Here is a 13,959-nt window from a genome sequence, read left to right on the forward strand (position 1 = left end):
TTGGGCTTTGCCTTTCTCTGGTCCCTCCCTGATTAGCTTAATAGCTAACCTCCTGAATTTTTTTTTTTCAGGTAAATAAGGGATTTCTTCTTGGTTTGGATCCACTGCTGGTGAACTAGTGTGGTTTTGGGGGAGTGCTGAAGAGCCTCATGTTGTCATATTACCACAGTTGGTTTTCTGATTCCTTCTCATTTGGGTAGGCTCTGTCAGAGGGAAAGTCTAGGGCTGAAGGCTGTTGTTCAGATTCTTTTGTCTCATGAGGTGTACCCTTGATGTAGTACTCTCCCCCTTGTCCTATGGACGCGGCTTCCTGTGAGCCTAACTGCAGTGATTGTTGTCTCTCTTCTGAGTCTAGCCACCCAGTGAGTCTACCCAGCTCCAGGCTGGTGCTGGGGGTTGTCTGCACAGAGTCCTGTGATGTGAACTGTCTATGGGTCTCTTGGCCATGGATGCCAGCACCTGTTCCAGTGGAGGGGGGTGCGTGCAATGGTCCCCGTGAGGTTTCTTAGCTTTGGTGGTTTAATGCTCTATTTTTGTGCTGGTTGGCCTCCTGCCAGAAGATGGCACTTTCTAGAGAGCATCAGCTGTGGTAGTATGAGGAGGAACCAGCGGTGGGCAGTGCCCTAAAACTCCCAAGATTATGTGCTCTTTTACTTCTGCTACCAGAGTGAGTAGGGAAGGACCATCAGGTGGGGGCAGGGCTAGGCATGTCTGAACTCAGAGTCTCCTTGGGCAGGTCTTGCTGGGGCTGCTGTGGGGGATGGAGGTGAGAGTCCCAGGTCACTGGAGTTGTGTACCTAGGAAGATTATGGCTGCCTCTGCTGAGTCATGCAGGTTGACAGGGAAGTGGCAGAAAGCTGGCAGTCACAGGCCTCACCCAGCTCCCACGCAAACCAAAGGGCTGGTCTCACTCCCAACGTGCTGCCCCCAACAGCCCCCAGTCCATTTCCAGGTGGAGAGCCACAGAGGCTTGAAAACCTGCCCCAGGCTACCCACCTACCAGCTGCAAAAGAAAGGGCTTGGTTCTTCCACCACTTGTGGAGTCTGCACACCAGATTTGCACCCTCCCCCGAGTTCTGGCCAAGAGGCTTCTCACCCTGTTCAAATTGTTAGAGTTCAGCTAGAGATTTCCTTCTCCCTGTGGAGTTTTACCCCCTGCTCCTCTCCTGTTGGATCCCTGTGGTGCCAGGCAGGAATGGGCTGCTTGGGGACCCAGTGAGCTCCCAGGACCTTTCTGCTGCTTCCTCTACCCCTGTATTTCACTCGGCTCTCCAAATTGACTCAGCTGCAGGTAAAATCGGAAACTTCTCCCACAAACAGACCTTCAGCTTCTCCAGTGGGGGTGTGTGTTCAGGAGAGGAGGGTCTCCCTTTCCCACTTCCTCAGTTGGGGCACTCACAGTTTTGGGGGGCTCTCCCAGGGCCTGCAGGAGCAGTCTGCTTCCTTCAGAGGGTCTGTGGGTCCTCTAGGATTGCTGATTTGTTCTTGCAGTCAATCTGGAGCTAAAATTCACGATGCGAGCCCCGCAGGCTGCTCTGTCTAGAGCTGCAATCTAGTCCTGCCTCCCGTCTGCCATGATGATCCAAACAGTCAGAAAAGAAAGCTGGTCTTAAATTTTTCTACAGGACTTATCTAACCTATAATTCTATAAACATTTATAAATAGATTAATAATTAAATTCTTCACCCTGCCTCTACTAATAGAATATTTGTTGGGATTTTAGTTCTTAAAATTAAATGCCTTCATTTATCCTTTCTTCCTTCTTTTCCTTCTTCACCATATATTTACTTTAGCTGTATGGACAGTTTGGCAACAACCTTAGAGCAAACGTGAATCTGGTGGGTATAAGAGAAAGCCACACAGTTTTATGACCAAACCCTACCTTAAGAGAAGCCCATGAAAAAGAAACAAAATATATGTGAGGTGTGGAGAAGGCTCCTAAAGAACCAGACCATCTGCCTTTTCAGACACCCAGTCTCAGATACAAAATCACTGTGAGAGCCATTGGTTCAGGGACCACAGTATGTTTGGCACTAGGCAGGATTCTGAGGACACAGTGCCTGCCTAGTAGAAGATCAGAGGCTGGACAGGAGAGAGACATGGAAACCAATAATTACAGAGCCATTTGACTAGGGTTGTTGTTGCAGTATGCACCAGATGCAGTGGCTGTGGAAGAGTGTTCACCCTTGACTTAAAAGGCTTTCTTATTCTGGTGTATTAACGTGTACCACATATAAATATTTGCTGGCAGGCTGGGTGCAGTGGCTCATGCCTGTAATCCCAGCACTTTGGGAAGCCAAGGCAGGCAGGTCACGAGGTCAAGAGATCGAGACCATCCTGGCCAACATCATGAAACCCCATCTCTACTAAAAAATACAAAAATTAGCTGGGTTTGGCGGCACACGCCTGTAGTCCGAGCTACTCGGGAGGCTGAGGCAGGAGAACCGCTTGAACCTGGGAGGTGGAGGTTGCAGTGAGCTGAGATCGCACCACTGCACTCCAGCCTGGCGACAGAGTGAGACTCCGTCTCAAAATAAATAAATAAATAAATAAATAAATAAATATTTGCTGACATAAAGTACAGATGGCAAAAGATCCATATGATATACCCACACCATCTTTTCCAGCATTGCATCGTATTGAGCTTTAACTTATCAAATCCTCACATCAGCGCCAAGTTGCAGATCACTACCATCCCATGCTCTTTAGTATTTAATCTCATTTTCCACCTTTAGTTTCCAAACCAACATGGACTTTGTCAGACACCTTCCAGTTTAGGTTGAAGGTCATCACCTGGTCATTTATATTGCTGTGTTCTCAATATAATAGAGGCATATGGCTAATGTGTCCTTAATTGTGTTATTTTCTTGTGCTCTGTTGCTATCGCATCTCCTGAATTTTCTTCAGCCAATTTCTGTCAAGTGCATTTAATTTCTTCTATTTCATTTTAGCTCATTGCCAATATTTTCTTCCCCATAGAGTCAATATTCTGCTGCAGAAATATTTTACACTGATACAAAGATTCACTCTGTGATAGTTTCTTGAAAGTGAAGCTATTCCTTTCTGGAAGGCCCACACAGCCATTGTAAGAGCTGATTTCTTTTAGCTTTTCAGTGTATAGCAACATGCTTTATTCAGTATATCACTGTTCCCATGTTACACTTAATTACATGATAATGTAGACAGTGACACTGTATTCTGGGAAAATAAGTTAAATTACTGTAGCTGTCAACAACAAGTGGCAGAACCCACCGACAATGTCATTTACTCACCCTCCAGTCAATAAAAAATACACCTAAGATCTTAATAGAAAGATCTTCAGGTATGACTGAAAGATCCAAAATCTCTATACTCCTGTGTAATGAAATGCTTTTTCCCGAATGCACTATATTTACTATAGTTTCAACAGTTTCCTCTTTCTTCTCACAAAATGGGGTAAGAACCGTTTATAATATCCTTGGTCTGTAATACAATTGAAATGCTTCATATAGAAATTAGAAAACACTGTGATTGTACTTAGTGTATACTTTTCTAATTTTTTACATTATGAAATTGGTTATATAGTTTTATAAAATTAGTTATATGGTTATACGGTTTTTTTAACCATAGAAACTGAGCAGGTTACTTCCTACCTCCGGGACACAATTTACCTTTTTTTTTATTTCTTTAATTTTTTTAAGTGTATTGTTTCCACAAGTTTCAAGCATTAGTTTTAAGACAGAATTTGTGATTTGGATCTTTTAGGTTAGATAACATCTATATTTTCAGTGAAAATCCTAAATGTACTAAGAAGTGAAGCATTTTTCAAAACTTGATATAGCTTACTCCAGATCTTGATTTTTATAATTTTAGCTATTTAGGGAAAACATTACCAACTTACAAAAAAATAGCACAGCGTTTCATTATGAAATTTGTAGTGCATCAATACCAAATTTCTCCACTAAGATTTTTCAAAGGTGTGTAGGCACCAAATTTCTCCACAAAGATTTTAAAGAGGATATTAGAAGTGGACTTAGAATGCTGGGTGGCAGCTGGTCAAACATGACAGACTTGAACAAATGTGCCAACAAAGCCCTTATGGTTTACTGGGTAATTATGGGAAGTGGCATTGGTGCCAGCCAATCAGATTCCTGGGCAGCTACTTCTAAACCCACTTACTCTTAAAGTAGATCATTAAAAATGCACTTTGGTAGAGAAGCTTTGCTCCTACTCAACATAAATAGTCTATTTGCAAAGTTAGTCATTTGGTCAAAATGCAGCACATCAGTGCTGGTACAGTGAACAACCACCTCTATATTACACAATCATCTTCCATTAAAGGCATTTCAGAGTGAAGCTTTCAAACATGAGAGAAATGAATGGGCCTGCCACGGGCATGCGCCCATCCATTCCTGTCCATAAACCCACATATTGACACACAAAAGCAAGTTCATTCCATTTGTTTTCAGAGCTCTAAAAATTTCACTCCAGAGCTCCTATGTACAGTACAAGTTGAAACACATTTTTAAAATACCAAACAGAGGACAAATTTTTTAATTTGAAAAGACAAATGTTAATTCCTGGAAGCTGGTTAAGTCCATCTCCTCCTGCCAAACCACTAAACAAAGAGGTGATAACTGAAAAGCCTTCCCCCAACACCACCAAAAAAAAAAAAAAAAAGCACTCAAGAAGATTAGGACTTTTTCTTAATGACCTGGAGGTAAATATTCTTAAATATGCAATCATTCATTTCCCAAAACTTACAAAAGCTGAGTTGACTCCAAATACTGCCTTGGGGAAAAGGGGGATTGGAACACATCAAGCAAATCATGAAGATTTTAGCCCAAGACTGGGAAATTGTTTTGGGTTACTATGGGATTTACATGGATTCAAATTTTATTTTCTAATATGACACTTACCTTCATTTCCAGAAGTCAGTAGACATCTAATCCTGAAAGTCAAGCTTCTCAGCCAAGTATTTTAGTCCCCAGAAGAAGTATAGGCATGAAGGACTAGAAAGCTCTGCCAATAAAATCTGACTCATAACCAAGGGTGATGTTCCAAATAGTTAATAACTAGGCACTGGCCAACCACTATGGATTCCGGATGTCACCGCCCTGAAGCAGGGTCCGAGCTCCCTTTGTAGGGAGTTCCAAGGAAGGCTTTGGGTTAGGGGCCAAATTAGCCCAGGCAGCAGAGTGGGTACCCAGGGTCTCAAGAAAGGGACCACTTACCGATCAATCCAGACATTTTTCAATATTTTAACCACTAGTTTGGGCATACCTGTGTATACTGGCTGCACATCAGCTTTGCACCTATCTATATGGAAACATCCATTTTAAAAGGAGCATTTTAAAAGGATACTGGTGACTCACATTGAAAATGTAGATGCTGGCCAAGTGCAGTGGCTCACATCTGTAATCCCAGCATTTTGGGAGCCAAGGTGGGAGGATTGCTCGAGCTCAGTAGTTCAAGACCAGCCTAGGCAATATAGCAAGACCCTGTTGCTACTTAAAAAAAAGAAGAAGAAAGAAGAAAGAAGAAGGAGAAGGAGAAGAAGAAGAAGAAGCAGAAGCAGAAGCCAAAAAAGAAAAAAAAAAGAAAAGAAAGAAAAGAAAATGCAGTTGCTGATCAAATACACCTGAGGTCTTCCCCTCAGAACACAATGAGGAAGGTGGGAGGGCAAGAAAGGAAAGGAAGGAAGAGACGAGTTCAGAAATAGCCCTGACCTATCACAACAACTAAAGGATTTAGCCTGTGGACCTTAAGGAAAAGGAATCAACAGTGACTAGAAGGGAAATCTTCACCAAAAAGGGGCTCGAGGAGGTAAAAGATAGCCTTTTCTCAAGCTGACAAGAATAACAAGTGTGCAGACCTCCAGGAGCAATGAAGTAGGTGCTGGTTTCCATCAGCATCCTAAATCCAATTTGAAACCATCATTTCGTCTTCAAAGTAACAGGTGAAAAAGTTTACACTGAAGACAAAGCACCTGAAGTGGAATCACATCATCAACCTGAGGCTGATGAGGCACTGAATGGATTTTCTATTACATTTCTACAGACTGATCATCTGTCTTAGAGTGAGCTTATTCAGCCTCAACCAAAAACTTTCATATCCAGGCATAGTCATCATCACCTAAGGGCACTGAACTGAAAGATACTCTGAGGAGACGAGGCAGACCATTGGGAAATAGTTTTAACTCATGAAAGCTTATCCCATTTATAAGGGAAAAACCACCCTAGATGAAGCAGCATGAGAAAGCAGCTATGGCCCAGCAACTAGGTTGTCTTAAAGGATGAGCCCTTTACACCATTGCTGTGAGGAAAATGACCTTCCCCTTTCTGAAGCAAACCCAGGTACCAATGGGTGACTGACTTATTAAAAGCACAAAACACTCTATCAGGCAGGCAGAAGAAAATTCATGTACTTCTATTTTCACACAATAGGCCTTAGTAAATGTTGACCAAAAGAGGAAAAGAACAAATATATCCAGCTCAATTTATTGTGTTATTCTGAAGGTAGGGAGTTATGACTTAAAATCCCTTCCCTGAAAACAGCGATGAGGGTAAGATCTACAGATAATGGAGTAGGCAAAGATTCAGTATCAGTCCTGGCAAACCATCATTCCAGAAACCCTTAGGGAGGCCTCGTAGCATCCTGGAGCTCAACAGATTTGGGAAGCCATGACAGCATATCTTTAGATCTAAAGAAAATCTAAGCATCAAAGAAAAGACAATTTGAAGCAAGCCTAACTTAAAGCTGTGCCTTCTTTCTCTGGGGAATATTGATAGACAAGCTTCCAGATCCTAAGTTCTGAAACATTTTTGCAAATGGTATGGATGTGGAGGAAAATCTGTTGTGCTCTGTCATCTGCCCTTAAAGCTTTGCTTCTAGCCACTAGATCACGATCAGACTCCTTGAGAGACTGATACACATATCTCAAAGCAGTGGCATGGTGCATTTCACAGAAAGCCTCTCCCTGGAAGGCAGAGCTCCTTGGAATGGTATCACATTGGCCAGAAACCTTCATTTCCTGCAGTGCAGCATCCATCCAAGAAGTGCTCTCTCCAGGACCAATATTGCCAAGAATAATACAGACAAACATGTTGGCATTCACAAACTTTGAAGGTAGCCCAGAAACTGAGATGCTCAGCCCACTCGCAACAGAAAAAGACATGCTCCCCTACTTTTTGGTCTAGATTAACTACCACATATCTGAGAGGTCTAGCTAGACCACTATTGGTGAGAAAAGGCTGGCACAAGAAATAATACTTTCTTTGAAAAAAAAAAGTCGTTCATACGTAAGAATTGCAGACTTGGGCAAAATCATATCCTACTTCGAAGTGTACCTCCCGACGATGCCAATGATGCTGGTGTAGATCCTGCAAGTGTCTCTGTTCTACTTTGTGACTGAAGCTCAGCACTAAGGAAAAGGATCTCCAGTAGGTCAACTGAAACTAATTGACTGCCCTGAGTCTAGATCCAGTGGAATTCAGACACTTGATAAAGCTGACATGAAGTTTATCTCAGCAAACTTCCAAATGCCCTTGGGCTACAGAGAGTGGAGGTGTGACTGCTCATGGTCCCCTTCCTGAATACCTGTCCCTCAGTCTTTTTAGCAAGGAAAGGAAATATACAGAAGCTACAAGAATTTTGTTTTTTTGTTTTTTGTTTTGAGACAGAGTCTCACTCTGTCACACAGGCTGGAGTACAGTGGTGCAATCTTAGCCCACTGCAACTTCTGCCTCCCTGGTTCAAGCAATTCTCCTGCCTCAGCCTCCAGAGAAGCTGAGAATATAGGCACACACCACCATGCCCGGCTAATTTTTATATTTTTAGTAGAGACAGGGTTTCACCATGTTGGCCAAGGTGGTCTTGAACTCCTGACCTCAGTTGATCCACCCGCCTCAGACTCCCGAAGTGTTGGGATTACAGGCCTGAGCCACCACACCCGGCCTTACAAGAGATTTAAATATTGTCAAGTACTGTTATACTCCCTTCAATTTTGTGCCAGGAAATCTTATAATTTTCTAAACCCCTTTTCACCCTTCTAGGTAACCAGCAATCCTCCAAAATCCTAGATCTCTTTAGTGCTTACATACTCTTCTGGCTAAAATAACTTCTTACTATAAAAAGAGGGAGCATTCTCTTAAATGACAATTTTATTTCAGAACATCATTTCTGTATTTTATTCTATAAATATTCCCTAAGTTCTAAGTGCATTGCTACACCGGGCTAATAGTTTAGCTTATAAGCCTATCAGTAACTGAATTAATGCAATTTCATAAGTGACCAATTTATATTCTAGAAATAATTCACTGTCCTGGACTAATTTAGGCAACTACATTCCCATGCACTAGGCTGAGTTTCATGAGCAAAATTTGCAGATGTTTTATAGCGAGGTTTGAGTTGAAGAAGAGTGGCAGACACCCTGGAAAAAATAATGTTAGACATTGGAATCACAAGGCCATCAAGAGGCAGAGTAAAATTAAGAAAGATGGGCAAGGAGAAAATATCTAAATACCTTTTAAATGAGATTTGAAAAAGAGATGGAGGGGCGATGAGGTGTAAAGATAAGACAAAGGCAAACTTCCAGATTTCCAGATAAACAAGCCGACATCATTCACACCCAATGAACTAGTGATGCAGAGAGGCCATCAAACCTCACAAGGAGCAATGCTTCCCCCTTGCACGTTAATTACAAGAGGAGGTCTAGTACCTGTCTGGAGTATAGCTAGTTAGATTTCTAGTTTTCCATCTCACTGCTCTAAGGAATCATTTATGTTGTCTCAAGCCACCAGAGACTAACGGATATTCCCCACTCCATAAACCAGCCACCACATTCATGTGCTTCCTACAGAGAGGCTGGGGAGGAGAAAATGTATGTATGGATTTCTACATAACCAAAACTACCATCAACACTGATGGTGATACACTGCCATGTAAACCAAGTAGACTTATATATTTCTAAAGTGCTGGTCACCTTAATACGTAGGCAAATATTTATCTGATCAGGTAGTGAGTTTTGTACAAAGCTGCACCAAGAATGAGAAAGAAACTCCAAGCTTCAGTGGGACAAATCCCTGTGTGACAGTAAATTTTTTAAAAACCTGCTTTAGCCTTTAGATCTGCTAAGGTTCCTAGGACAATGAAACATAACTGGCTGCCCAGGCCCCAGATTGGATTAGATAGTCGAAGAGATTGTGACTCCTTCTTTCTACCAAAAATGCCAATTTTCAACCATGTTACTATTTATCAGTAACTCCATCAAGGAAACTTTTTATTAATACTCAGACATTCTAATCTTAAAAGATTTTAAGTAACACCAAAGGAATAGACAAAGGAAAATAAGCAAAACAATCAGTTTATTTTCCTCATGTTTAAAAAAGTCTGAAATAATATTGAAATTATGGATATAATTTCTTTTGGCTTTGACCAACTAAAAAGTTTAATCACTGATTAAAGCTGAGATATCATATTCAACTCAAGATACCAGGCATTCAATGACACTATCTTCTATTCAACTAAGTGGGCCATTCACATTTAAATATAAAGAAAAGAAAAAAAATATATATATATATATATATGAGAAAACATGAAAAATTGAATCATATTATTTTGAATTAAATCCCAAGTTCCATGAAACTAGCACTAGAATAAAAGGAATTATTGGTAATTCTAGCTTTATTTTTATAAAATTCACATTTCTATCCTTGTGGCTTTTCGGTTGATATATATTGGGTGGTGGGGGTTGTTGTTTATTTGTTTGGTTTTTTTGCTAGGACCTGGCTCTGTTGCCCAGGCTGGAGTGCAGTGTCACAGTTACATACTTCACTGCAGCCTCAGACTCCTGGGTCAAGCAATCCTCCCATGTCATTGTCCCAAGTAGCTGGGACTACAGGCATGTGCCAGCACACGTGGATTATTTATTTATTTACTTTTTATAGACTGGGTCTTGCTATGTTGCCCAGGCTGGTCTCAAACTCCTGGCCTCAAATGATCCTTCACCTTAGCCTCCCAAAGTACTGGAATTACAGGTGTGAGCCACCACAGCTCTCCTTTGCTTGTCTTCTGTTGTGTGTGTTTTTTTTTGTTCTCTACTGAGTTTCAGAAAATGCAAGGATGATGATGGCTGAAAATTTTGCTCTACAGCCTAGAACCTAGAGGTTGGCATAACCAAATTTACATGGCAAAGATAAAAATCCAGTTGCAGGGGCCCTCTGACATACTCAGGCTACTTTTGTAATTTCCAATTCAGGAATAGCAAGTTAATCTCAGTTTAAGGCATTTAACTTACCTACTGTAGAGCAAACCTAAGTGCTGTTATGAAATAAAATGAAACTAGACAATTTCTGTGCCTGAATCAACATGAAGGGAGTTGGATCTGCCTGAACAAGGATCCTCTGAAATTCATGGAGAGTCATTTTCCCAACACTGTGGAGAAATCACCATTGTTTTTGGTGGTGAGTGGAAGTGACAGATGGCACTTAACCTTTCTGTTTTTAATAAAATTCTTTGTGAACAAGTCCTCATTTTTAAGGAGACATAATCTCTCCTTTTTATTGTTTTTTTCCTTAAGATAATAAACGACAATTTCACTTTTTAGCCCCTCTCTAATTCTTAAAGAAAGCTGCAAGATGGAAATCATGAGAATAAAAACTCCATGCTAGCTGTGAAAAATGAAAAACAGCAATCTTGCAGCCACTGGAGGAAGCAATGTGTGCTTGGAACTCCCACAAAACTTCATCCCCAGACACTTGTCACTATTTGACCTTCTGAGAGCTGACTGAAAAGCTCCACTCTTGGACTTTCTTTATTTGACATGACTCAGAGCTCACTCTGTGCAAGCAGCCCTATCTACAAGGCATTTGTCAAAAACAATCAATGACAATTGTTTAACGTAGTGGCTGCCTGAGGCAGCATTGCAACTGTGGCTAAAAAGAGGCTGACCAAGAAAACATAAAAGGAAAAATCAGGAAATGAGATGCCCATACAGACTTTGAAAGCGTAAAATATTCCTGAGAGTCAAGAAAGTCATGTAAATGAGCAGGTCTATGTGCATAAACCAGGACTGCACACATGCCCAGAAAGATCTAAGAAGACCATGATCTCTCACCCCTGCTGACATTGAAGCCCTCCTCATGCAGAAAGTGAAGGCTAAGGCAGACTTGTAAATAACCTTTCATGGCATTGAGGGTGTGTTCAAACACAAATACACACACACACACACACAAAGAGAGTTCTTCAGCAAAGGCTGAGAGCCTTATTGGCTCAAAGTAATTAAGTAAATCTGTCTAATCATTAGATGATCACTAAGCTAATCAAGCAAAGACTTCAGTGGCCACATACACCCTTATAGACTTTACACAGACTTTACAGAATACTAGCCCAGAAACATCAGTTAATAAACAAACCAATAGGAACAACAAAAACTCTTGGGGGATGGGAGAGGAGTGAAGAGGAATGTGATTTCCAAATTTGTTGCATTATATAATTTCAATTGCCAGATTTCAACAACAACAACAAAAAGCTACAAGATATGCAAAGAATGGGAAAGTATGACATACGTTTTTAAAAATTAGTAATAGATGCTCTTCCTAAGAAAGCCCAGATGTTAGACTTAATAGACCAAGACTTTAAAATACATTTTCCTGAATTACATGAAACAATGTAATTATAAAAGTTCTTAAAAGCAAGAAGGAGAACAAAAGAAGTGGTCAGAGTGATGCAATGTGAGAAGAACTCAACCTCCTGTTGTTGGCTTTGATGGTGAAAGAAAGAAGCCAAAAGCCAAGGAATGTGGGCAGCCTCTAGAGGCTGAAAAAAATGCAAGGAAACAGATTCTCCCATAAGCCCTGTCAGGCTGCTGACACTTATTACAGCCCAATGAGACCTGTGTCAGACGCCTAACCTTCAGACCCACAGATGATAAATTCGTATTGTTTTACACCGCTAAGTGTGTGGTAACCCATTACAGCAACAACAGAAAACCTGTTATGAATAAGCCAGGCACAGAAAGACAAACATCACATGTTCTCACTCATATGTGGGAGCTGAAAAAGCTGATCTCACGGAAGTAAAGAGTAGAATGATGCTTACCAGAGGCTGGGAAGGATGTGAGTTGGTTAATGGGTACCAACATATAGTTAAATAAAAGGCATAAGTTCTATTCAATAGCACAGTAGGGTGACGATAGTTAACAATAATTCATTATATATTTCAAAATAGCTAGAAGATGTGAAATGTTCCCAACTCAAAGAAATAATAAGCATCTGAGGTGATGGATATCCCAAATACCCTGATTTGATCACTACACATTACATGTATGTGTCAAAAGATCATGTGTACCCCATTAATATGTACAATCATTATGTATCAGTAAAAAAAATTTAAGTAAAAAGTAAAATTAATTTTGCTAATATATTTTATGGCAGGGCTCACACCTGTAAGCCCAGCACTCTGGGAAGCTGAAGCAGGCAGATCACTTGAGCCCAGGAGTTGGAGACCAGCCTGGGCAACATGGTGAAACCCAGTCTCTACAAAAAATACAAAAATTAACCAGGCATGGTGGTGCACACCTGTGATCTCAGATACTCAGGAGGCTGAGGTGGGAGGATCACCTGAGTCAGGGAGGTCGAGGCCACAGGGAGCTGTGATCTGTTCCACTGCACTCCAGCCTGGGCAACAGAGTGAGACCTCATCTCAAAAAATATACATATATTTTGTATTTTACCCAATATATCAAAAATATTATTTCAATAAGGAATCAATATAAAAATGATTAAAGCAATCTTTTACATTTTTTAAAAGCCAATTACAGATTTTGGTAATGAGAGTGAGGTGCTGATGTAACAAATACCTGAAAGTGTGGAAGTGACTTTTGGCTTGGGCAGTGGACAAAGGCTGGAAACATTTTGAGGAGAACAATAGAAAAATCCTAGATTCCCATGAACAGATGAGAGTCTGTTCAAGAAATATGGACATTAATGACGCTGTCAGTGAAGCCTGAGAAGGAAATAGGGGAGCATGGTAGAGAAAGCATATATCACCTTAGAAAGTTGCTCAGGAGGCTGGGCACAGTGGCTCACGCCTGTTATCCCAGCACTTTGGGAGGCCGAGGCGGGTGGATCATCTGAGGTCAGGAGTTCAATATAGGCCTGGCTAACATGGTGAAACCTCACCACTAGGAAAGTATAAAAATTAGCAGGACATGATGGCAGGTGCCTGTAATCCCAGTTACTCAGGAGGTTGAGGCAGAAGAATCACTTGAACCCAGAGGCGAAGGTTGCAGTAAGCCAAGATCGTGCCATTGCACTCCAGCCCAGGCAACAGAGCGAGACTCCGTCTCAAAAAAAAAAAAAAGAAAAGAAAAGAAAGTCGCTCAGTAATCATTAACAGACTGTTGGTAGGTTTAGAGGAAAAACTGTTCAGCAAAAATGTAACCAGTTAACCAGGACTTGCTGGTTTGGGGGATTTTCAGCCTTTCTGGATTGCAATTGATGCTAAAATTTAAGACTTTCACTGGCAGTAGAGAAAAAAAAGCTGAGCATGTGGATGCATAAACTTTTGCTAATACCTCAAAACCATCAAAAGGTCAAGGTATTTAGTCATATGTCACAAAAAAGATTAAGTGTGTGACTAATACATCTCTTCAGCCTTCTCAGGAGAAGCCAAAAATAAAGATGAGATTGTCTAAGAAAGATTTTGGAGGACCTCTTGTCTAATGGAGTGAATCTCCAGTGCATGTGACATATACTGGAGACCTACAAGGTTCTTGAGAATTTTAAATACGAGCAGAAACATTGCCATCTTAGATCTAAAAGGACAAATAGAGTACAAAATGAAAGATGGCTGTTGGACAACCAAAAGTCTACAGGCAGGAAACTGATAAAACTACTCAGTTGCAAAAATGTGCTACTTTTTCTGAAAAAGAAGAGGTAACTCAGAGCTGAGAGCCTAGAGAGTAGGACCCAAGCTACA

The 13,959-nt window shown here is 41.0% G+C and overlaps 1 annotated feature.

Moving 5' to 3' along the window:
* Positions 386-1,585: an enhancer, noted in NCBI's record as "MED14-independent group 3 enhancer chr8:66419280-66420479 (GRCh37/hg19 assembly coordinates)". NCBI's record gives its function as "activates an origin of replication core promoter dependent on BRD2, BRD4, P300/CBP and CDK7 cofactors, and independent of MED14, by STARR-seq in HCT116 cells {active_cell/tissue: HCT116}" and the evidence as "EXISTENCE:reporter gene assay evidence [ECO:0000049][PMID:35650434]".

Source organism: Homo sapiens, chromosome 8 (genome assembly GCF_000001405.40).
Source record: "Homo sapiens chromosome 8, GRCh38.p14 Primary Assembly".
NCBI classification, from domain to species: Eukaryota; Metazoa; Chordata; class Mammalia; order Primates; family Hominidae; genus Homo; species Homo sapiens.